This window comes from Homo sapiens, chromosome 14, assembly GCF_000001405.40.
Source record: "Homo sapiens chromosome 14, GRCh38.p14 Primary Assembly".
Lineage (NCBI taxonomy): Eukaryota > Metazoa > Chordata > Mammalia > Primates > Hominidae > Homo > Homo sapiens.
This window is the reverse complement of record NC_000014.9, coordinates 91316046-91341116: the sequence shown is the minus strand read 5'-3', so window position 1 is coordinate 91341116 and position 25071 is coordinate 91316046. Positions and strand designations below refer to the sequence as shown.

At 53.1% G+C, this 25071-nt stretch overlaps 1 protein-coding gene across 5 annotated transcripts in view, besides 2 other annotated features; it reads left to right on the top strand.

The window, feature by feature from the left end:
* CCDC88C (coiled-coil domain containing 88C) overlaps window positions 1-25071 on the top strand; it is a 146498-nt gene that overhangs the window by 76704 nt on the left and 44723 nt on the right. For all 5 annotated transcript variants that reach the window (NR_189158.1, NR_189159.1, NM_001080414.4 and 2 more), the window contains 7 exons: window positions 1093-1233; window positions 1655-1839; window positions 2547-2628; window positions 2954-3112; window positions 15061-15207; window positions 16194-16338; window positions 19813-19997. Coding sequence is in view for 3 of the 5 variants with exons in the window: in NM_001080414.4 (NP_001073883.2) it covers window positions 1093-1233; window positions 1655-1839; window positions 2547-2628; window positions 2954-3112; window positions 15061-15207; window positions 16194-16338; window positions 19813-19997 (1044 nt within the window). In the remaining 2 variants the exon portion in view is untranslated. The remainder of the gene's footprint in view (window positions 1-1092; window positions 1234-1654; window positions 1840-2546; window positions 2629-2953; window positions 3113-15060; window positions 15208-16193; window positions 16339-19812; window positions 19998-25071) is intronic.
* Window positions 9652-9781: an enhancer, noted in NCBI's record as "active region_8903". NCBI's record gives its function as "activates an Ori minimal core promoter by ATAC-STARR-seq in GM12878 lymphoblastoid cells {active_cell/tissue: GM12878}" and the evidence as "EXISTENCE:reporter gene assay evidence [ECO:0000049][PMID:35858748]".
* Window positions 24617-25006: an enhancer, noted in NCBI's record as "active region_8902". NCBI's record gives its function as "activates an Ori minimal core promoter by ATAC-STARR-seq in GM12878 lymphoblastoid cells {active_cell/tissue: GM12878}" and the evidence as "EXISTENCE:reporter gene assay evidence [ECO:0000049][PMID:35858748]".

Sequence of the window (25071 nt, the reverse complement as noted above, 5' to 3'; positions counted from 1 at the left end):
AGAGGTAAGAAGGTGGTGTCTCTTCAAATTTTGAGAAATTGAAGGGCCTTTGTTGACAGGGTTCTGTCTGCTTTTTATTTTATGGGTTTGTCTTTTTTTAGAGACAGGGTCTCTTTTTTTTAGAGACAGCCTGTCACCCAGGCTGGAGTACAAGTGGTGTGATCATAGCTCACTGCAACCTCAAACTCCTGGCCTCAAGTGGTCCTCCTGCCCCAGCCTCCCAAGTAGCTGGGACCACAGGTGCATGCCACCTCGCCCGGCTAATTTTTAAATTTTTTGTAGAGATGGGGTCTTACTAGGTTGCTCAAGCTGAGTTTTTTTGTTTTCTCTATCTCTGTTGATTGAATAAAGACTTCTTTGGGTGTGTTTCAGAGTAGATACCCCTGATTTCATTGTTTTTGTTTTCCTCTTTTGAGGCCTGAGCACTATGGTATCTTTCTTCCAAAATTGAGAGGAGAAGAGCTCGAAATGGATCCTGTCTCCTGTGGCAGATCCGGGGGTGTGCGTCGAGAGGCTGTTTCACGTAGACAGAGCTGTGTATCTCCGTTCCCTGGCCAGTGAAAGGGGCACAAAGAGGCTGTCTTCTGTGGCCCGTGGGAATGAGATGCACCCTTCCCTGAAAACTGTTTATGAATAGATCCAGAAAACAACCCAAGATTGCTTTGTACACAACATTCTGACATAAGATTAATATTTTTGCTGTTTGCATAGATTTTAAGAAGTAACATACAGTCCCTTTCCTCACCCTCTCACCCTGAAGCTTTCCTTCTTTGTGTTCTACATTGATGTAGCTCCAATGAAGATATCTTATCCCAGGACCCTATAGGGAAATAATTGTGAGGCGTGCTTTCTGGTCCCCTTTGAAAATCAGCATCCTCTCTGACCCAGTTCTGAAAGCAGAAGTGGTTCGTATGAACAGGGCTCTGCTGAAGGGTTTGGCCACACTTGCGTAGGGCACCCTTTTGCTGGCCACCGTAAATTTGTCACTGAGGGATTAGTAAGGTTGATTGGAAGGGGATGCTGTTTGCAGTGTGAGGGAAGTGGGCGCCCGTCTCTGCCGCCCCTGCAGTGCCCTGCCATGTGTGCCCACAGGTGACTCACAACCAAGAGAACGTGTTTGACCTGCAGTGGCTGGAGCTGCCCGACGTGGCTCCGGAGGAGCTGGAGGCCCTGTCGAGGAGCATGGTGCTCCACCTGCGGAGGCTCATCGACCAGCGGGACGAGTGCACCGAGGTGCGTCCGCGGGTCGGTGGCCCGGTCAGCCTGGGAAGGGGCTTAGGCCCCTTCATCTCCTCTCCCTTCATCTTCAGCCTAGACGCCTCGGTCCTGCTGCTGAGGTTCTGGTGGGGGTGGGACGTGCGTGCTTTCCCTGGTTACGGCCCCTGCAGTGCATGGTCACCTCGGGCCTGTGGGAGGATACAGGGAATCAGGACGCGGAGCTTGGGGCCCTCCTCCTTCGTACACTCCCTTTTGTTTCACTAAATATTTCACCTCTTTTCAAAACCCATGCCAGCCTTTTCCCACCTTCCTCCTCGTTTCTTAGTCTCCGCTGAAATATCTGTCTTTTGGCGGTTTCTTCACCCTGTTCAAGCTCAGGCGTTGTGCTGGTTAACCCCGTTTGTTCTCCTCCATCCCCCTCTCTGCCCGGCTGCAGCTGATCGTGGACCTCACTCAGGAACGGGACTACCTGCAGGCACAGCATCCACCCAGCCCCATCAAGTCCTCCAGCGCCGACTCCACTCCCAGCCCCACCAGCAGCCTCTCTAGCGAAGACAAGCAGCACCTGGCCGTAGAGCTGGCCGACACCAAGGCCAGGCTGCGGCGCGTCAGGCAGGAGCTGTGAGTCCCCGGCTGCTTCTCCTACCTTTGTGTGTGTTGCAGACATGTTTCTGGTGTGGTGTCGACTCACATGTGTGGTGCTGCCAATGGCACAGCTCTGACGTGTGCCCCGGAGTCAGCTGGGGTCTGCCCTGAGCTTACTCTTTGACCTCGGACTAGCTGCCTCCCCTTCTGAGGCCTGCACAGGGATGGGGGCGGGGATTCTTCCCGGTCTTCAGGGTTTCCTCCCGTCCAGACGGTGCAAGTTGTCCACAGAAGCAGCCTCCAGTCCACGCTCAGCTCCAGCTTGGGGCCGGGACGACCACACCTGATGTGTTTTCTTGGCTGGAGGGATGAGGTGCCCCTCCTTCCCTCCAATCTGGTGAGCCTGTTCTCCCAGGTTTCCTGCAGCTGATGGATGTCACCTGTGGAGCCTGGCTGTGGGGTGGTACAGCTGCCGCTGGGGTCTCCTTACCTGCCCCACACACAGGGAGGGAGACCTGAGTGGCGGATGGACATAGTTTAAGGGCCGGTGTTGCAAACTTATGAAAAGAAAAGAATTTTGAGTCAGTAACATTTTTGCAGGCCCCATAAGCAGATCGCCTCCCCACCGCCCAAATCCCGAGTCCTTTCCTTTTCCCACAGGTTTTAGGAAGTGGCAGCCTGCTCCCAGGGCTGCTTGTTGAGGAAGCTGCCTCCCACACTCTTTCTCCTTACTGCCTCTGCAGGGAGGATAAGACAGAGCAGCTTGTGGACACCAGACATGAGGTGGACCAGCTGGTGCTGGAACTGCAGAAAGTTAAGCAGGAGGTGAGTCGGGGGCCTGAGCCTGTGTGTCCTGGGGGTAGCAGGGCTGGAGTGTCCAGTAACGGGGCCTGGAGGGTCAGGAGCTCAACAGCAGCGCTTTTAAGCCACACAAGAGCCACTTGTCCTGAGCACGGCTATGGGGATGACCCTGTTTCTTAGTGACAGCAGGTGGAGATCCCGTGTGGTGGTGGCACATGGAGGCCCCCGGCCACCAGGAGCTGGCTTGTCCTGGGCCGTCGTGGAGACACCATGCAGAAGGGCAATGGCCTTTCTGCCCTTCCTAGAGGATGCCCTAAGCTAGGTTCTCCTGCCTTTGTCCACCTTGCAGAACATCCAGCTAGCGGCAGACGCCCGGTCTGCTCGTGCCTATCGAGACGAGCTGGATTCCCTGCGGGAGAAGGCGAACCGCGTGGAGAGGCTGGAGCTGGAGCTGACCCGCTGCAAGGAGAAGCTGCACGACGTGGACTTCTACAAGGCCCGCATGGAGGTAGGGAGCCTTGCTGTGAGGCCCCTGGATGGGGCTGCTGGAAATTCCTGAGAAGCACATTCAGACTGACCTGTCCTTGGGGGCTTGGAGGAGCGGAGCCACAGCTGTTTCAGCAGATGCTTCCCCGGCACCTCAGCCTGCCTGGGCTTCCCAGGGCCCCCGTCTTGCTCCTCTTCATCTCCCAGTCAGCAGGGGAGGGTAAGGAGTGTAATTGATTGATGTAAGGCAGTGATTCAGGGTTTCTCCTGCCCCCACCTCATGGCATTATGATCACCTTCTATCCGTGTGCGTCTTTTAAAAGACTTCTTGCAATTTCTGTGGCTAATTTGCTAGGACTATTTCCTCATCTGTGGGAATAACGGGCAACCGGGTGCAGCGGCTCACGCCTATATTCCCAGCACTTTGGGAGACCAAGGTGGGAGGATCGCTTGAGGCCAGGAGTTTGAGATCAGCCTGGGCAACATAGCAAGACTCTGTCTCTACAAAAAATAAAAAAATTTAGCCAGGCATAGTGCCACGTGCCTGCAGTCCCAGCTACTCAGGAGGCTGAGGCAGGAGGATTGCTTGAACCTGGGATGTCAAGGCTGCAATGCATTGAGCTATGATTGCACTGCTGCACTCCAGCCTAGGTGGCAGAGAGGAACCCTGTCCCTAAAAATAAAATAGGAATTATTGTTATGGCTCTATGAGGTTTCAAAGATGTAACTGGTGTTGGGCAAGCCCCATAGCCATCAGCTAGTGGAGGCTACTCTATCTTTATTTTAAATCTTATCAAGGTTCTGGGAAAAATGTAGGTGAAAGGGTCAAGGCTACATGGAGACCCAGACCCAGGTGAGGTCTCTGATGCTTTGACCACTCACCCTGACAACCTCATGTCAGTAGCAGCTTCCGGGACCCTCTTTTCTGAGGATTTAGGAATTTTTCCCATTGCCTATTCCAAGGGGGGCTGGAAGTGGTTAGAAAACGTGAGCTGAGTGAAATCAGAATACTGGCACACATTGAGTGGACTTGTTCAAGGCTAAGAAATAATCCCAACGTCTCTCCTACCAGCCAGAAGGCCTCTTAGGCCACCGAAGGCAGAGCACCGTATTGCCCTCTCCCTGCCGTGGAGCTGTCGGGCTTGCCGGGGAAGGCTGTGAGCCCAGGATCTCTACGTGTTCTGTGCTGCAGCCGGGCCCTGGAGGCTCTGGAAGCTCTGGGACTGGGTGAGGTGGGTTGGTGAGGCTGTGGCGAGGACCTGTCTGTTCCTCAGACCCACTCAGGGAGTGTCTTTGCATGCTAAGGCTCCTTACCTCCTGCTGAGGAGCATCCTGAAGGCTGTGCAAAGCCAGCCCATGCCTGGGCGAGGGGTGGGGAGGGTAGACCGTTTCTCAGCTTTGTCCTGGAGATGGGCCACTGGCTCTCTGGGTTATGAGAGGCACGAATCTCTGGCACAGATGGGTTCCAGAACATGGGCAGCTTCTGACGGCTGCATTGCTTACTGGAAATGCCCCGGGTGGGAGGGCTGGGGACTGTCATGCACAAACCACCTCAGCAGCTCCTCCTGCACATAGGGGACCTCATGCAGCCCCAGAGTGGGGTCATGGATGGAACGTGACTCCCACATCTCACCCTGCACCCTGATTTGTGGAGGAGGGTGGGTTTGGGGATCCCGTCTCCGTGTTCGTTCCTGACCTTGTGGGAGCATCCTCGCTCAGTCACATAGACGCGTCTGCCCAGCACCCGCCTGCATGGTAACTGAGCGCTGCACCAGGAGCAGAGGATCTAGAAACACACAAGCTGTGCCCTCTGCATCAGGGAGTTCTTGGAGTTTTAGAGAGGTTTCCATCATCTCCAGTGTCATGCCTCTGTGAAGTGACAAGTATTTTTCACATTAATGACTTTCATAGTGGAAAATTACCATGAGATTTATAATGCCTTAGATTTCGTATTCACTTTATTAATCACAAGAGAAAGAGAAATAGTGTCTCTCTGCATGAGACATTTACTCAGGGATAGGTAGTGAGACAAACGTGGGTTTGCAGACACTGAGCCGCCAACGCAGGTGATGAATTGGGCATGGTTGATTAAGTCCAGGCCACTGCTGAGAGGAGTGAGCTGTACTCCCTTCGGATGCCCATAGTGTCAGGAATTAGATAAATGGTGGAGGACACCTGTTCTCAGATTGGAATAGTTACAACAGCCTAGCAAACCGTCTTCAGTCCTCATAGGATGCTTAGAACAATTTGGGATTCCCTCCCTTGTCCCTCTTCCAGACTTGAAACCTTTCCGATTGTGAGTGACTTTGCCTTCTTCATGCGGTGACATTAATTGAGCAGCATGGATATAGTCATGGAAGAGACAGCTGGACCCACAGGGCTTAGCCTCTGGGGAGGGAAGCAGGCAGGCAGCACATGGTTAGGATGCAACACCATCAGTGCTGTGCTGGGGGTCACAGAGGAGGGCGCCTCACCCAAACATGGCTGGGGCCAGGGGGTGGGGGTGCTGTTGAAAGTGAGGCCTGAAATAGCTAGGAGTTAACCAAGCAGGGAGAGCCAGGCAGAGGCAGGAGCAAAGGCCTGGAAGCCCGAGAAAGCAGCGTGCAGGAGAGACACCTGAGGTCAGGGCCACAAGGTCCTGGTGTGTCTGGGTGGACGGTGAGAGGTGAGGCTGGAGGGGCTCTCAGGGCCCAGCCATGGAAGGTGTGCAGCGTGCATCGTGCCCATCAAGCATTTTCACGAGGCGGGTGGCGTGGGGTGTTTCAGAACATTTAAGCACTCAGGCTACGTGGCCCCAAGTCTGCCTGATGCACGAGCCCTGCTTTCTACCACTGCTTTCCTGAGTCCCACCGGATGAGGAACCCTGGCCCAGGAGTTTGGTTTGTGTCTTCATGGGCATGTTCTCAGCATGTAGAGCAGTTCTGGCCCCTGGGAGGTGTTGGAGAGACGCTTGCTGAGTGAATCTGGAGCTGGCTTTGGACAGTGCTGCATTTGCAGAGCTGGTGGCTGCTCTGCTGCATTGGAGACCCCACCTTCTCAGATACCTGCAGAAGCCGAGTATGGGAGCACAGGGCTCTTGGGGCGGGCCTCCCACCTGAGCACTCAGGTGTGTGTTGGACTTAACTTAGAATGCAGCTCAGAGGCCTGGAGCTGAGCTGCTTTGAGATGGGAGCCAGGTACCATCTGAGCCCTGCTGGGGTTGAGGTGAACCCTTGCCCCCGGTGGCAGATGCCTGGGCCAGTCACTCCCTCCAGTGCTGAGTGGGCTTCATGTCAAGGCCCGGCGTTACCTTGATGCACAGGTGACTTCGATGGGCCCGTGTTTGCTTTTAATAAATAAGTGTGTGCCCAGGTTTATATGAAAATCCAGGTTTTTCAGGGTGTGGCGATGCATATTTCCAGGGAATTTGCCCTGAGATTCCTTAAGAACAGTTCCTATGCAATTAAAAGCAGACAGCACCATGAAGAGACACCTCTGTGGCCCAGGCGTGGTGGCCCATGCCTATAATCTCAACACTTTGGGAGGACAAGGCAGGCAGATCTCTTGAGCCCAGGAGTTCAAGACCAGCCTGGGCAACATGGTGAAACCCCATCTCTACAAGGAAATGCCAGAAATACTAGCCGGCTCTGGTGGCAGGCAGCTGTGGTCCCAACTCTCGGGAGTCTGAAGTGGGAGGATTGCTTGAGCCTTGGAGGAGGCTGAGGTTGTGGTGAGCCGAGATCGTGCCACTGCACTCCAGTCTGGGCGACAGAGTGAGACCCTCTCTCAAAAAGAAATGCATCCGTGAATTGAGGTTGACCCGCAGGTGGTAAAACCTTAGATTAGAAAAGACCCAAGTACGAGGTATGTTTATGCAGAAAATAAAAATGAAGTGGTTAGAGAGATGGATAGATTGATGGATATGTGATAAAGCACATACAGCAAAAATTCTCATTGTAGCATCTAGGTGGTATGTGTATGGGTGTGTGTGATACAATTATTTCGACCTTTCAGGAAATTTTATATTTTTTACGATAAAATGTTAGTGTTAGAAGAGGTATTCCAAGTAAAAGGTCAGCGGGAAAACAGGCACTTTGCCTCAGTGCACACCTGGTCAACCACATCCATTGTGAAACAGTTAAAAATACTGATCAGTTTAAAGCTGTGAAGCAGCTTCTCATAAGTCTCAGCCCTTCATTTCTCAGTTTCTCAAGATGCGGTCTGTGTCTACCTATATCAGGATCAGCTGAGGGTTTGTGTTTAAAATGCAGATTCCTGGGCCCCACCCTAGACCCTAGGGAGTAAGGGCAGGCCCTAGAAATCTGCATTTTACAGGCCCTCTCCCAGGCCATCTTGCCCCCCTTAAAAAAATAACCTTTACTTTTAAAAAACTAATATGTGCGTTATAGGAAACTGAAAAAGGCAAGCGAAGAACAAAGTCCTCCAGAATCGCAAGCAGTTTACAGTTTGCCGTGTCCTTCCGTGTCCTGTGTGTGCACACAGCATCGTTTTACATGGTTGAGAGCATGCAGTATATGTCATGCTTTTTCACACATCATGAATATTTACCAATTCGAAATCCCAAAGCTGTATGAGTATTTTGATAACCAAGAACACACTACACCAACTCAATCTGTTAGGAAAAAATGTAATCCTGCCTTTCTTTGGACATAAATTTCACAGACGACGAAAATGGTAACAGGCTGCTAGATAAAGTTGTTGGCAGAGTTAATGTTAAAATACTATATTCCCTTAAGGCTCGGTTTAAAATAAGGCATAAAGCAACAGGGTACAGTAAGTATATGTTTCGAAGAGAATTCATTAGCAGATCTATACCATTAAAATATTAGCAAGAAGGTTCCATTGAATTACTTAATGTATTCCTATAGTACAGCCAAAAGAGATGCACATACGTCAGTGGCTGTCATCCAAATGGAAATATGAACACATCTGCGTGTGTCTCTCTCTTTATACTTCTTGGATTCCTCCCAAGCTGGAGGAATATGGTTGCAGATGAAGAGAGTGCTTCTTTCCGCACCCCCGACCCCCGCCCGAGGCTCTTCACTCGTGGATTCCCTCCGGAAAGGCAGGGTTTGCAGAGCCAAGGGCCGGTCTGTGGGTGGAGTGTGGCCAGAGGCTTTCTGTGTGGACCTTGAGCCCCAGCAGGTGGGACTGTCTTACTTGACTGCTTGTACACAGAGCCTGGCACACACAAGGCACTTGGTAATCACACCACTCTTTGCTCTGCAGTTACAAGGCTTGCAGTCTCGGGAGGAGGGAAGGGGAGGAATCATGAGTTTTTCGACTCCTTGGGATTGGAGACAGGGCTGTTAGGTGAGATGGGCAGGAGAGCAGAGAGGTTATTGCATTCGTGCCAGCTCGAATTGGTGCAGCACTTGCAGGTACAGTGGGAGACACTGGTGGCCAGGTCCGCCCAGACAGGCTGCCCCGTCTAACCCGTAAAGCACATTGGTGTGCATCACCGAAGGGAGAGCGCATCCTGCCATGTGGGAGGACAAGATAAAGGACCCGGGCTTCAGGGCAAGGGCAGATTAATTTTGGTTACAAAAACATGGAACACAAATGTACATGGTTTGTTTTCAAAAGTCTGGCAGCTATTTTTGCTCCTAGCCTAGCTTACATAAGAGGTGAAAAAACAAAATGAGTAGCAGAGTAGGTGTCCCTCGGTCCAGGAGGAAGCGTGCGGGCGGGCGTGGGGTGTCCCTGACTTCCCTTTGTAAACAGTAGTTCTGCTCAGTGCTGTCCAGGGCATGGGGGTTGCCCTCAGGGCTGTGTGGGAGGAGGACAAAGGCAGAGAACTGGAAGGTTCTCTTTCCCCGTATTTTAAAATTGGCTGAAAGTTTCTACTGCAGGCAAAGGGCAGATGCATAGATGCTGTGTGCATCCTGAGCGGAGTGGATGTGGCCTCTCTCTGCTCCTGTGTGATTTATGGCTCTCTAGGCAGCGCTGGCTCCCAAATAGCCCGAGGGGCAGAGACCTAGCTGGGCAGAGTCTGCACTCAGGGGCAGAGACCTAGCTGGGCAGAGTCTGCACCCAGGGGCAGAGACCTAGCTGGGCAGAGTCTACACCCAGGGGCAGAGACCTAGCTGGGCACAGTCTACACCCAGAGGCAGAGACCTACCTGGGCACAGTGTATACCCAGGGGCAGAGACCTAGCTGGGCACAGTCTATACCCAGCTTGCCAGGTGTTGGGCAAGTCTTGTCCCCATCTGTCAAAGCAGGGGGTGCTCTCGGGCATGTCTGAGACCTTGGCATCCTGTGATGTAGGAGCATGTTTGCAATGGGCTTATTCTGGGGTGCACCTGTCCGTGGGGAGCCTCCCCAACAGGGAGCTGCCCCAAGGAGGTGGGGACCGTGGAATAGATCTCTGCAGTGAGGGGTCAGCCAGAGGGACAGAAAGGGTTGTTGGCCAGCACCGGCCAGTGAGGAACTGGGCTAATGATCATTCTTAGAATGTGTGTCTGTCTTTCTCTCTCCTCTCTCTCGCACGCGCACACACACGTGTGCACATGCACACTCTCCACCCCACCATGGTGACCAGGAACGGGGTGGGGCAGGAGCTCTGCTGTGGCCTGGTCTGCCTTGCCCATGGGGCCTGGAGACAGGGCCCCAGCTCCTCTGCCCTCCTCCACCCTCCTCTGGCCCCAGGCAACATCTCCTGCAGCTCTCAGAGGTCTCAGTCATCTTCAGGAGGAAAAGGTGCTTGGGACATGTTTGTTGATTTGAGTCCAGTGTCTTAGGGCCCCTGAGGCTTTCCCATCTTTAACTTAAAACAGACCTTTCCACTTTCCTCCGATTCTCTCCAGCTGCCTCTCCCTGGGCTCAAAGGCAGACCTGTGTGAAAGCAGTGTCAGCTGTGGGCCCATTTCCCCCAGTCTGGAGCCACCTGCCGTGCCTGCACCGCTCCCCCCACCCCCGCCCCACTTACCAAAGCCACTCTTGCCAGTAAAGGGGCGCTCCTGACATGGACATATCCGGCAAGCACTCCTCAGCCCCAGCCCCTCCTACCACTTCCTCCCTGAGCTTCCACTCTCCCCACTCCTGGACTCACTCTCCCATCGCAGGCCCACCCCTCAGTATCAGGGCCCTCATTCACCCCTTGCCCTCTGCTTCTCCTCTGGGCTTTCTCCAGGGATGGCTCACCTGCCCTGCCGCCTTCCCTTAGCCCACACACATAGACCCTCGAGTCCCAGATCTTAATCCTTGGCTGAGGCTCTGTCTTGCGCTCCAGGCCTCAGTGTACCCGGGTTATCCAGAGACATCTCAAGGCCAGTGTGTTCAGAGTCATTGTCTTTCCCTCCACACCTGCCTGTCCTGTCTCTGGTCTGGAGTCACATCCACTCGGGTGCTCAAGCCAGAGCACAGGGCCACCTTGGTTCTTTGTCTTCCTCCCCATCCCCTCGTCCCAGGTCCAGGTGCCCCTCCTGTTTGTAAGCCTGTTTCTCACCTCCCAGCATGTCCTTGTCCGGAGGCGGGTGTTGAAGAGTGTGGCTCAGCCTCACTGGCATCCTCGCTCATGTTACTCCAGAGTCTGCCTGCGGAGTGCCTCCCTAATGGTCTGGACTGGCCAGTCTGCCTCTGTCTGTCCTGCTGCAGAGGCCTTTGCAGCCACTCTCCATGGCTCCTGGGTAAAACCCACACCGTACCCTCGTCTGCCACTCCCCACTTCAGCTCCCCCAGGACTCCTGGTGCTTTTGCACAAGTGCTTCCTCAGCCCAGCCCCACTCTCTCTTCCGACTCTGCGGCCAGGTCAGGGGTGGGGCGCTGAACTGTGCGGGCTGCGTCTCCCAGCCTCCTGCTCCAGGCTTCCTTGAAACCCCTCCTGACTGCAGGCAGTGCTCATCACGTGGCACTTTCCTGTCTGTTTCCCAACCAGAGTGGGAGCTCTTTGAACACAGGGTCTGTGCCTTACTGACCCCTGGTCCTCTGTGCCCCATGCACCTTGTGGCTCAGGGGTCAGCACATGGCAGTCCCTGGGCAAACCCGGCCCCTGTGAGTTTTTATGAACACAGTTGTGTTGGAACACAGCTAACACCCATTTGTTGTCTCTTTTTGTGCTCCCTCTGTGGAGTTGAGTAGTTGTGACAGAGACTTAAAACCTGCAGAGCTGAAAACATTGCCTGACTGGGCCTTCACATTCTCAGGGTCTGGCCCAAATGAGGTGCACAGTCGGGTCTTTCAGTGAGTGGTAACGACCTTGTGTATCTGTGGAGCTTTCCCCACCTGCTGGGAATGATGTCAGGCCCTAACTGCATCCATGCACTGAAGCCTCATGGTGGCCCTGCAGGTTTAGCAGCCACTGGCAGTTCCTCCCCTCTTTTCAGATGAGGAAACTGACAATTGATTAATTAATAACTTGCCCAGCATGGCAGTTGCTAAGCAGGGGGACCTGGGATGGGAATGACTGTCTGCCTCCAGACCTTGATGCTTGCCTGTGAATGACTTGATGCTTGCCTGTGAATGAACGTGAGCTTCAGCCTTCACAGGAAGGAAGAAATAAAGGGGGTGTGGGAAGTGCTGCAAGAGGGGTACTCCTAGGAGAGGTGAGGGGCTGCCACTGTCTCAGAGGCCGTGGAGGCCTGAGGAAGGGCCCCAGCCTCCAGCAGCTCACGTTAGGGCTGACATGTCACATCATACTTAATCAGGGAATGTCAAGATTCAGGGCACTTACTAAGGACACCCTGAACACAGGGAAGTCTTCTGTTCCCACCTGGAACTTTGTGTCTCCCTTGTTCCTTAATAACTGCTGAGGAGTTGTGATGAGGTTCAGCACACTAAGACGTTGAATAGGACAGACCTGCCGTTTGGTTTAAGGTTTAAGTCCCCCATGCTTCTCAAAGTGGGTGAAGTTTAAAAACAGGCAGGTCTTCGGTGAAGTTCAAGGGATGTCCATGAAGCTGGATGAGCAGGTAGGGTTCAGAGCGGGGGTGATGTTTCCTGGGTGGGTAGGATGTCTGCCTGCCCTGAGTCAGCTGACCCAGACCCTCCCCACTGAGGATGCCCTGGGCCAGCCTCCTGCTGCTATGGCCCCCTTAGGGAACCATACGGCATCGTGGTTGCTACAGAGCTCCCTGGCGGAAGACTGCCTGTTTGTTTGATTCCGCACCCCCTCTGGTGCTGTGTGCTCCTCAGGGGTCAGGAGGCACCCTAGAAGCCAGTTTTTTCTGTTAACATGATAGGTGCTCCGTGGGGAGTGCTGGGGGTGCTCTGTCGGTGTGAGTTGGTGGTGATGGCGGCTGGCGAGTTTGTAGGTCTCAGGCGCTGCGCATGGAGTATTTCACACGCATCATCCGAGCTCCGCGTCACCCTGTCTTTAGGCCCATCGTGTAAAGGAGGAATCCGGGTTGAGAGTGTATGTAGCAGCCCTGGGAATCGGGGCCCGTTAGCTCCCGTGCCTAATCACTGCCCCAAGTCGCAGTGGCAGATTAGAAGTGAGCTCTTGAGCCTCCTGAACTAGCCCTCAGTCCTGGGCTGTGACTTCATGAGTGTGGTCCCCTCAGCTGTTTGCTGGGCTGGGTCGGGCCTTTAAATAGCCTCCTAGGTCACTTGTGGTCAGGGCCACGGTGGGGCGTTCTGGCCTTGGACAGCTACCCAGAGGTGTGGAATCCGGCTTCCCACTCCTCCTCGCCAGGTGCCCGGGGGAGCCCTGGGCTTGCTTCGGGAGCTTGGACACAGCTTCTGGATCTGGCTTCTCATTTCAGAGGTGGTGGTGCAGTGTGCAGGGCACTCGAGATGTTTCTGTTACCTTATGTATAGTGGAGGTTGAAATGGCCAGAAAACCACAGCATGTTTGAGTAGCAGTTAGAAATCTTCTGTTCCATGCCATCTCCCACTCCTGGCCATCTCCATTCATTCCGGGAAGTCTCTGAGTTCTTTAAGGTCCACCTCACATGCCGCCTTTGATTCCTCCCTCCTTGTGGCATGATTTGGCCAAGTAGTGTTATTGAACACTTACGCGAGGCTCACAAGAGCAAAAGCACAACAGTCCTGCCTGAGGTTCCTGGTCTGGGGGAGGAACAGGCCGGCCTGCTGTGGCCTCAGAGCAGACCCAGAACACTAGGAGCCCAGAAGCCTGACTTGGGTGGGACACAGTGAATTCTCAAGCACTTCTCCTAGGGGACAACTCCAGCTGGGTCTTGAAGGCTGAATAGGAGTTGCTTGTGAGGGTGAAGCAGCAGGCAGCCTGTGCGGTGGTTGCTCAGGGCCTGAGGGTAGTGATGCTGGGGAGTGCTGGCGGTGGACCCTGCTGGAACGCTGGTCAAAAGAGTGGGGGCAGTAGCCAGAGAGAAAAGGCTGGGCCTTCTTTCTGCTTTGAAGCCCGTCATTGTGCTCTGGCTTGTGTTATTAGTACAACAGGGGCCTCTCACCCACACAAGCCCCTCGAGGGTGGGCTTCAGGGAGCCGAGGGCAGTGAGGAGAGCACCGGGTCTGCGGCCTGTCAGGCCCCAGCTTTGTACCTCACTAGGTTCGTGGCTTTGAGCTCATTTCTTATTTTTTCTGAATTGGTCTTTCATCTGCAGGAAGGGACTGTCCCTGCCTCCCTCTGAGGGCCACTGTAAGGCAGGACATGGATTGCCTGGGGCAGGGCCAGCCACATAGTAGATGTGGTCTCTGCTGGGCACAGGCAGCGAGAGGAGGGCACGCAGGTGAATCCAGAGACTTAATGGCCAAGCCCCTCACCGCCTGCCAGGCTTTGATCAAAGCTGTGTCCGCTGGCCGGAAAGTGTGTGGCTTCCCCTCCACCAGGAGTCTTGGATTCTGGCCCACATAGGAAGATGAGCACATGGTGGATAAGTAGAAACTCCCAGCCTGGTTCCCAGTGTGATTCGTGAGTGGGACAAACCTCAGACAGCTCTGCCCACCGAAAGAAGCGTACACGTTCCTGGCGTGTGCTGTTTGTAACCTGCGAAGGCATTTGGGGGAAGCTCAGTTCCCCGCCAGATACCGAGCGGTGCTTGGAAGGGCCCAGGAGAAGAGAAGCCAAGAAAGCCCGTAGCAAAGGAACAGTGGAGATGTGCGCCCTGGACTGACTTCTTCCCTTGTGCACATCACTGCCTGTGTCAAAAATAGATCCAGCGCACCCCTCAGCTGTATACATTTGTGGAGCTCACATTTGTGTGGTTTGCTGTGCTGAAACTTAACTGTCTTAAAGACCCCCATTTCCAGGAAACTGCCAAGAACTTTTGTTATCTAAGAGTGTTTGTAAGATACTCAGATAGGAGCAGTGTATTGAATGAAAGTTTATCTGAATAGCTGCTGTTTTCCAGGCCCCACATCTGTAGAATGAATGTTGAATTAAGAGGTCTACTAGACTCAGACCTGGAACCCAGGATTGACTCTCAACCCCACTCCTTCCTTGTTAAGGAAATGGGCTCAGGGTCCCCTTGTCCGTCCAGATGAGATTAGGCATGTCAAAGCCTTGGCACTATTCCCAGCCTATCTTGATTCATGGATTTTTTTTTCTTATAGCAGAGAAAGTCCATTGTCCTTGCCCGATTAAAAAGGGTGAAGATGGGCTGGGCACAGTGGCTCATGCCCGTAATCCCAGAACTTTAGGAGGCCGAGGCAGGTGGATCACCTGAGGTCAGGAATTCGAGACCAGCCTGGATAACATGATGAAACCTCGTCTCTACTAAAGATACAAAAATTAGCCGGGCGCGATAGCAGGCGCCTGTAATTGCAGCTACTTGGGAGGCTAAGGCAGGAGAATTGCTGAACCTAGGAGGTGGAGGTTGCAGTGAGCTGAGATCGCGCCACTGCACCCCAGCCTGGGCGACAGAGTGACATTCCGTCTCAAAAAAAAGGTGAAGATGATAAAAAAAAAAGTAGAGGAAAAACTTCCTGCCTCGGACTTCCCTCTAGATTGTTTGCTTGGGTCCAGATGCCTGAAAGAGTTTTGGTTTTAGAATTCCATCCTAATGACCCAGGTGCCTTTATCTGATGGTTCTCATGTATGTTTTTGCTAACCAGGAGCTGAGAGAAGATAATATCATTTTAATTGAAACCAAGGCCATGCTGGAGGAACAGCTGACTGCTGCTCGGGCCCGGGGCGATAAAGTCCATGAGCTGGAAAAGGAGAACCTGCAGCTGAAATCCAAGCTTCACGACCTGGAATTGGTACTGCAGGCTGTGTTGTTACTACATTGAAAACAGATTGGGCTCGGGCACAGTGGCTCATGCCTGTAATCCCAGCACTTTGGGAGGCTAAGGTGGGAGGATCCCTTGAGCGCAGGAGTTCTAACCCTGGCAACCTAGCGAGGCCCCATCTCTACGAAAACTAAATAATTGGGCATGGTGGTGTGAGCCTGTAGTTCCATCTACTTGGGAGAGACTGAGGCAGGAGGGTTGCTTGAGCCTGGGAGGTTGAGGCTGCAGTGAGCCGTGATCACACCATTGCATTCCAGCCTGGGTGATAGAGCAAGACCTTGTCTCAGAAAAAAAGAAAGAAAGAAAAGAAAACCGATTGGGGCAGGTTCAGGTTTATGGCGTGCCCTTCTCTGATAGTTTAGCTACTGGGTTTGTTGCTGCTACTGCCGTTGCTGCTGCCACTGCTACCACGAATGACTTGTTGACTGCGGGGAGTAGCTTGCTAAAATCAGCAGGCTTGAGCGGGTGCCACTTAACACCCACAAACAGAGCACTTGACTTCTGTATTGCTTTTCTGTAGGAATGAGTGTGTGTGTGTGTCTTGGAAGAAGGGTCTTTGCCAGTGTTGATGGTGTGGGGTGAGCTGTGATTTGTTAGCCTGTTAACAGCTTTAGAGGCCTGTTAGGGCTTCGCTAGAGCCACAGAGCTGCCCATCACTGCACACTTGCTTTAAAGCCCTGTGCAGTATGTCACTTTGTTCAGACAGCATTCAGTTAGGGACCCCGGCCGGGTCTGTCTTCATAACCTAGGTAGCCAGGTCAGGGTACCTTTGAGTGGCTTTCCCTCTCATAGCAGGGCCCTGTGTTGGGATGTTTCTGTGCAGCTCTGTTTATTTGGAAGTGAGCCAGTACATCTTCATCCACAGCACATGACGGTAGCTATACAGGGGCTGAGGCTTGTCCAGGGGGATCTCCAGCTGTGCAGCCTCACTTCTTGCCTCTTCTTGCTTGCCCCAGGACCGGGACACAGATAAGAAACGAATTGAGGAGCTGCTGGAAGAAAACATGGTCCTTGAGATTGCACAGAAGCAGAGCATGAACGAATCTGCCCACCTTGGCTGGGAGCTGGAGCAGCTGTCCAAGAACGCAGACTTGTCAGACGGTAGGTAGCGCCTGGTGCCGGGGAGCCAGCCTGGCCGTGGCCGCCGCTGCCTCCAGGGAGCTGAGTCCTGGGCTCTGAATCTGCCATGTTAGCCCATCCATTCATCCCAGGCAAACATGATTTCCTTCAAGCTCCACTTGGAACTGTTTCATTACAGTTCTCCCCAGGGAAGACACGAGGGGTCTGGCAGCCTTGATGTCAGGACGCAAAACACAAATTAAGTGTTGCCAGTTTTCCGAATTCCCATATGGACATTCCCGGGAGCTTCCAGATTATAGTGCACTGACACCCAGAGGCTCTCTGAGGCCATCTGTGGATGGCTGAAAGCCCTGGATGGCAGGAGCCATCACCAGTGGCCACGAATCCCTGCTATAAATGTACCCAGGGCGTCATTTCCTCCATTCATTTGCATAATTGGGCAAGATGGAGGCAGCCTGTTTTCTCTCTCCTGGGTGGGGAGGGTGCTGAGTGGCTGCTGCCCCGGAGACCCAGGTTCTTAGCGCCTCTGCCAGGCCTCTCCCTTTCCCTCTTCCCTCCTGGGCTTGCTCTGCTGCCCACTGCCCCGCGCCCCGAGAGGAGGTGTCGGTCATGGGAAGCGTGGGCGGGGCCGCACTCAGCCCCCTGCGCAGGAAGCCTCAGCCCCGGCAAACAATGAGCCAGTTCCTGTGTTTGAAAATAGCACACGCTCACCGTTCCCGTGCACGTGATCGTGCAAGTTCATAGTTACTTAGACTTTCCAGGGTGTGATGGGGCTTTTGGCTTGTTTAGTGGGTGGCTTTAAAAAATTCTGATAGACATCTAAGCATTCTGGAAAGGTTATTGGAAACAGGTGAATATTTCTTGCATTTGGGGGTTCCTATCAGTTCCGAACCTAAAACCAGTTTCACTGTGAATCTGTGTGAGAAGTTAGCTGTCTGTGCTTTGATATCTGTGCGTAGTTCTGGGGCCTGAGGGCTGCACAAGGGGGTTCCCCCAAATCCCTTGCCTCTGGAAGTCCAAGTTGGGGGCGCCCCCTGGTGGAGCAGAGAGGTGGTACAAGCAGCTAGGATGGTCTCTCATCAACTAAATATTTGTTAGAGACCATGGTGGCTGGTGAGAAGGCCTCACCGATTTAGACCATTTTCTATAATGTGTGAGCTCTTTAAAGTTAATACCGTGATTTATTCTTAGTGTTGTCAACTCCTAGTGCCTAGCTAGGAGCTGGCATCATTCTAGTGTTTGCTAGAATGATGGCATCGTGCAAGCAAAGCCTGAGTGTATGGGGCAGTGGCTTCGAGAGCCAGAAAGACCTGGCATAAAGCCTTGGCTTCTCTGCTGGTTAGCTGGGTGACCTAGGGCAAGTACTTAACCTCTTAAAACTTTAGTTTCCTTACCTGCAAAATAGGGGTAATGAACCTGCCTCACAAGATGACTGTGAGGATGAGTGAGAGAAAACAGTGAAGCAGGAACCCCGGCTCTGGCCCTTGGTGTGTTCTGTAGAGGGCAGCTCTTCTTGTCTGTCTTACTAAGACATACCCAGTTACTCTGGTTGCTGGGGGGTGCTGACGAGATTTGCACTAGTAAAGAAACACTGGGCCGGGCAAAGTGGCTCATGCCTGTATTCCCAGCACTTTGGGAGATTAAGGCGGGCAGATCACTTGAGGTCAGGAGTTCAAGACCAGCCTGGCCAACATGGAGAAACCCCGCCTCTACTAAAAGTACAAAAATTAGTCAGGCGTGGTGGTGCACACCTGTAATCCCAGCTACTCAGGAGGCTGAGGCCGGAGAATCGCTTGAACCTGAGAGGTGGAGGTTGCAGCGAGCCAAGATCACACCACTGCACTCCAGCCTGGGTGAGAGAGTGAGATTCTGTCTCAAAAAAAAAAAAAAAAAAAGAGAAACACTGGCGTTTTAGTAGTAAACCATTGTGTCGTTTTAATAGTCTTCAAGGCACTGACTTTAATGGAAGAGGAAATGAAACATCGATTCCATTGTTTAACTCACAGAACCTTAAAAATTAATCTCTGTGGTCAGTTTGGGAAGGTGAAAAGGGATGGTGGTGATGGTTGCAGAAAAGTGTGCTTGTACCTAATGCCACAGATCCAAACACTTTAAAATGGCTAAAATGGTACTTTTTAAATATATTTTTCTGTAATTTTAAAAATGGGTTCACCCCCATGAATTCTGCAGAGACACTGTCCAGATGACCACAGGTTTTGAAATAATGGAGTCTTATTTGAGGCTTGGTGTTGAAGTTAGGTTAGTTTCATTTACAGCTTATTTGGGATGGAGCCCTCCAAGCGTCCTTGTATGTGGAGTGTGTGTGTGTTTATGTGTGTGTCAGTGCTGGGCTGGGGCCAGGTACACACCATCCCCTCCACTTCTCGCCTGCTGTTGGTTTGGGTCTTTAGGGCGTTCTGGCCTGTTGGGTGGTCCATGTCGTTATCCTTGGTAGAGGATGAAGACTCAGAGGGAAACGAGATGCTGTTCAGTCTTTATGATCACCCGGGGAATCTGAACCACACACATTTCCAGATTTATGTGTTTGCTGTGAAAGCCATCACCCCCCTGTACCCACAGCCCCTGGGGTGAAGAGGTAGGGGGAGGAATCGCTGTATTAGCAACAGTGTGGAAAGGCCCCAAGAGATGAGGACGTGGCACTGGGTTGGGTAAATGAAGGGGGGAAGAACCGGGCTCCTTTCTTAAGAGGGCTTTTGCATACCTTTTTTTTTCCCCTCCCCAAAACAACCCCATGACTTACCTAAAATCATGCACCTGCTTGTGGCAGGAGGGGGCCAGGAACTCCCATTCCTGACTCAAGACTCTTCCCTTCTCCATTTGCACCTGAGCTGTTTAAAAGCAGAGTAGATAGTCTGCCTTTTACTATTTTTAGCTTATTTTTCATCTCATTTAGAATTTTAAAAGTAATTTGCATACACTATCACAGTTTTCTTCAACATAATTGTGAAGTCACAGAAAGAAATCTCTGCATAGCATCTCATCCAGGCTGACAAGTGCCCGACACATGTTCCAGTGTAGCTTTCTACCACCCATGGCCAACGGGAGTGGTCAGTTACGTGCCCCTGCCTGCTGAGCAGCCGAGATGTCCATTATGCTCTGGGGGGTATGGAAAATGTCACCTGTGTGTCATCTCTGTTAGCCTCTAAAATCCTTGATTGGACAGTTAGGATAGCAGCCTGATAGCCAGATGGTTCCCAGAAGTGACACAGCCCTTGCATTGGCTCCTGGACTGTAACCTGCCGCCTTCTTGAGCCCTGGATTGCTGCCCTGACAGACCCCAGCAAAGCCTGCAGAGGAGCCCTCGGGCACTGGGAGTGGAGGGGCAGGAGGAAGGGTCCCCAGCTGACCTGTGGGAGCTCCTCCCCAGCCCCTTAGACCCTGGACTCCGGGACTGATGACCATCTCGGAGCTTGGGGCAGAGAGTGGAAGTGGAGGCCCACAGACCACTGGGCTCTGACTGGACTTTGTCTTCAGCCTCCAGGAAGTCGTTTGTGTTTGAGCTGAACGAATGTGCGTCCAGCCGCATCCTGAAGCTGGAGAAGGAGAATCAGAGCCTCCAGAGCACCATCCAGGGGCTGCGGGACGCGTCCCTGGTGTTGGAGGAGAGCGGCCTCAAGTGCGGGGAGCTGGAGAAGGAGAACCACCAGCTCAGCAAGAAGGTACCTCGGCCTCCTTAGGCCACCGGGGAAGCACAGAACCCTTGGGCACCCTCCCATCCTCCCCAGTGATTGTCTGGAGCACAGACAAGGAGGGGGCCAGGTAGAGCATGCAGGTGTCAGGCAGTGGACAGAATCCAGGCGCAGTCACCGCTGATTATAATAGGAATGGGAGTGAGGACTGGGGAGAGCCAGAGGAGGCGTGGCCCTGTCCCTGCTTCGCTGCCATTAGAGGATGACCCGGACATGTGACTTTCTTGTGCCTCATTGTCTTCATTTGTGAAATGGGGTTGATGGGGTGCCTGCCTGTAAAAAGAAAACTCCCTCGTTCTCTTCCACGCCACTGCTCCCAGTACCTCACTGCTTATACCAGGGGTGTGGGGTTTTCCCCATATCAAGCAGTTCTCAAGTTCTTGGGGGACACCAGCTGGGTATCCTACAATTTAACTCAATTCTGACACTACAGACCCTGCAGCCTAAGGGCTCAGTCCCACCAGACTGCCTCCCACTTCAGGTGCCAATCCAAGTCCGGATTGTCACCTGTGCTTCTGATCGGCTGGCTGCAGATCAGAGGTTCCCACCACCCCCTTCGTGGGCTCCGCTATTGCCTAGATGGCTTAGTATTCCTTGTTTATTACAAAGTATACAACGCACAGGCAGAACAGATGCACAGGGCGGTGGGTGCGGGGAGTGGTGCCACGCTACCCTGTCCTCTGCGGGTGCCCCTCCAGCACCTCCACATGTTCACCAACCTGGACACTTTTTGACCAAGTCCTTTTGGGTTTTTATGGAGGTTTCATTATATAGGCATGATTGATTACATCATTTGCCATTTGATTAGCTCAACCTCCAGGCCCTGTCTCCTCCCTGGAGGTAGGGGAGGCCTGAAAGTTTCATCTCTCTAATAACATGGTTGGTTCCCTTGGCAACCAGCTCCCATCCTGAGGCTCTCCAGGAGCCCCCAGTCCTCATTCATCTTAGCATACAAGAAAGACACCTATCCCTTTGGAGATTCCAAGGGTTTTCGAAACTTGTGCCAGGAAATTTAGCAACAACCAAACACACATTTCTTTTTTTTTTTTTTTTTTTTTTTTTTTTGAGACTGAGTTTTGTTCTTGTTGCCCAGGCTGGAGTGCAATGGCACAATCTCAGCTCATTGCAACTCCACCTCCCAGGTTCAAGTGATTCTCCTGCCTCAGCCTCCCGAGTAGCTGGGATTACAGGCACCCACCACCACACCCAGCTAGTTTTGTATTTTTAGTAGAGACGGGGTTTTGCCATGTTGGCCAGGCTGGTCTCAAACTCCCGACCTCAGGTGGCCCACCCGCCTCGGCCTCCCAAAATGCTGGGATTACCAGCATGAGCCACCATGCCCGGCCCCAGACACACATTTCTTATGCTGGCTGTTGTGGGGATTAGAGGTGGTAGTGTGTGTGACGGATTCGGCACATAGTAAGCACTCAATAAAAAGAGAGCAGGGCACTGTTATAAAGCATGCAATAGGGACCCAGGGAGAAGAACCAGTAAGGTACCGAATACCAGACGTTGAGTTGTTGACTAAAGTGATAATGAACATCTTTGGGGCTGCAAAGCCTAGGTCTGTATGTGTGAGGCCACTGACGGAACACCTTAGGGTCTTGCTGTGGTAAAACAAGCAGGTCAGTGCTTTCTCCCTCCCCTGGGTTTATGGGATGGGGAAGAAGAGATAGCTGAACTGTGTTCTGTTTTAATGACAGCTGTTAGGTCTTCCTGGGAGCAGAGTAGAAGCCAGACACCTGGGTGAACAGATGAGAGTTTGCAAGCCAGTCTTGTTCTACAGTTAAGAGGATCCCTGTCACATGGCAGATTCCTTCTCAGGTGCAGGAAGGGGCCAATGAGAGACTAGGGATTGCCGACAGGTCTTGCTCATTCCAGGTCAGAGGACCTCTCATCCACCTGCCTCACACTGTGGAGGCACTGGTGTACTGTGGGCTCTGAATGCACCAGCTGTCAGATTCCAGTCGAGGGAGGAGGCCAGAGTGTTCTTGCGGGCTGACTGCCATGCAGGATGGGCAACCCTCAGCCAGCTCAGCTCATCCTGAATTTCCCTCTCCAACCTCAGCCATCCAGCTGTGAGTCCTGGCAGTGTCATTTACTGAGGCATGACTGTGGCAGGACACCTGGGTCCCTTGGCTCTGCAGGTTCTTTTTTTTTTTTTTTTTTTTTGGACGGAGTCTCGCTCTGTTGTCCAGGCTGGAGTGCAGTGGTGCAATCTCAGCTTCCTTGCTATCTCCATCTCCTGGGTTCAAGCGATGCTCCTGTCTCGGCCTCCCAAGTAGCTGGGATTACAGGCATGTGCCACCATGCCCAGCTAATTTTTGTGTTTTTAGTGGAGATGAGGTTTCGCCATGTTGGCCAGGCTGGTCTCCTGACTTCAGGTGATCTGCCCACCTCAGCGTCCCAATGTGAGCCACTGCACCCAGCCACTCTGCAGGTTCATGATCTCTGAGGCTGGGAACAGGTCCCCCACTCCTGGGAACTGGTCCCTTGAGTTCCCTCATGGGACTTCTACGAGGCTCCTCACTCTTGTCCCTTTGAACTTTGTGTGCCTTGCAGCGTTTGAGCTGCCAGGTGGTTTTTCCTCTCTTTGTAGGACAACAGAAGACACCCCCGTCTCATGCCACATCTTCTGGTGCAGGGCAGCATGGGGAAAGTGACTCGGTTTTTTGAGACAGGGTCTTGCTCTGTCATCCAGGCAGGAGTGCGGTAGTGTGACCATGGCTCACTGCAGATTTGACCTCCAGAGCTCAAGTAATCCTCCCACATCAGCCTCCCGAATAGCTGGGACCACAGGCACGTACCACCACGCCCAGCTAATTTTTTTTTTTTGGAACTGGGGTCTCTTTATGTTGCCCAGGCTGGTCTCAAACCCCTGGGCTCAAGCAGTCCTTCGGTCTCAGCCTCCCAAAGTGCTAGGAGCACAGGTGTGAGCCACTGTGGCTGACTCAGTGTTTTGGTTTCTTAGATTCATGTGGGCCTAGCACGGGAAATGTCTTCATAAGTGGCAGCCCAACCTTGGCCATGATAAAAATAATTGCCCTTTAGGAAGATGAGAACCTCCAGCTCTGCAGGTCCTCACGACGCTGCCCCAGAAAGCCTGCAGTATTATCTCTCTGGCCTAGTGATATTTTGGGGCCCCTTCTGGCAGGTCACCAGGGTGGTGCCCAGGCATCTCTCTGCCCTGTCCTGTCTGCTGTGGCCCCTCCTCTGTACAAACAGGACCTGGCGGGGGCGTCGCCCACCCACCACAACTCCTTATGCTGATCTCTCAGGCCCTACCCACTTCCTCCCTGGCCCGACGCCAGCCTCTCCTGCCGTGGCCCTCGGGAGGCCCTGTCTTGGCACACACTCTCTGGTCGTGGGGGCGCCGGAAGGGAGGGGCCGCTGTTTGCAGGCAGGGCTGTCCTGTGTCTGAAGCCTGGAGCTCTCTCCTCCCTCTCGTCCTTGGCCTGCCCTGAGCCTGGCTGGAATCTGGCCCGACCCTGCAGGGTGGTTCTCCCTTCACTCTCTGTCCATGTCTCACTGACTGTTTTATTGGCCCCAGTGCCCAGCCCAGAGTCTGACACGTAGAGGGTGCTCGCCAGCATTTGACAGGTGAACCCTTCAGCACCAGCAGGAGGCAGGCTGTGCTTCAGGCCTGGCAACCCTCAGCCAGCTCAGCTCATCCTGAATTTCCCTCTCCAACCTCAGCCATCCAGCTGGCATTTCCTAGTCAGTAAGCAAGCCCGTTGGCCCTGCTGAGTCCCACAGGGGGCCCCTAGTGCCAACCTGGCTCTTCATCTCACCCCGAATGTAGCCCAGGCTGCACGCTTGCTTTGGTCTGGGACCTCTGGAAACCATAGTTCCCTGAAGTTAAAACATCTTTCTCTCTAACTCAAGGCACCTCCATGGGTCCTAGAGAAGCCCCCTCCCTCCTCTGTGTCTGTAGCTTTGTATTGAAGTCATAAGAGTTCATTCTTTGAGTCAGGAAGGAAAAAGAATCCTTATTTTTAGAGGAAGAGGGGCAGCCCTTTGGGGGCCTGTCATGAGAGGCAGGAGCAGCTCATGTGAAGACATGCAGCCTGGGGGCTGAGGGGCAGGGTCCTGGCACCCACAACTCCCAGGAAAACCTAATGCTGCACCACATGAGACTGTTGCCCATGCCAGTGGCTGCAGGGAGGACAGGAAACCCTCTGGGGGCCAGAAAGTCTGCAGCCATCCCATACCTTAGCCCAGCAGGTTCATCAGGTGCACAGGTCTTCTTCGGGGATGGACCGGAGTATAGGACAAAGAACCACAGAATGAGAAAGATGAGGGGTCCATCAGGGGTAGGTAGGACCCAGGAAATCACACCTTTAGACCAGAAGCAACAGCAATCAGAAATGCAAGGGTTGGCCGGGCACAGTGGCTCATGCCTGTTAACCCCAGCACTTTGGGAGACCGAGGCAGGCGGATCACCTGTGAGACCAGCCTGGCCAACACAGTGAAATCCCGTCTCTACTAAAAATACAAAAATTAGATGGGCGTGGTGGCAGGCTTCTGTAGTCCTAGTTACTCAGGAGGCTGAGGCAGGAAAATTGCTTGAATCTGGGAGGCGGAGGTTGCAGTGAGCCAAGATCATGCCATTGTACTCCATCCTGGGCGACAAGAGCAAAACTCCATCTCAAAAAAAAAAAAAGGTTGAGTCAGAATCTGCATTTCAGCAAGGCGGGCACTCGTGTGCAACGGGGAGCATAAGGACCTCTGTTTAGGTAGTTCATGTTTAGGAGGGCTGCGAACAGGTGGGTTCTGGCATAAGACCTTGATGTCAAGGAGATCACTGGGTGGCTGTCCAGGCCAGACAAAATGTGGCCTGGCCTGTGAGGGAGATGGTGGAAGTGTGGAAGGGGTAAGAAGGACAGGGCTTGGTGACACATTTCCATGGAGGTGAAAGAGGAAGAGATATAACAGAGGGCCACTTGAGCAGCCAGGTGACATCACCAACTGAGGCAGGAAGTCTCCAGGAGGACAGGAAGCTGGGTGCGTGTGAAACCCCCGAGGGCACCCAGCGGTGGCGGCC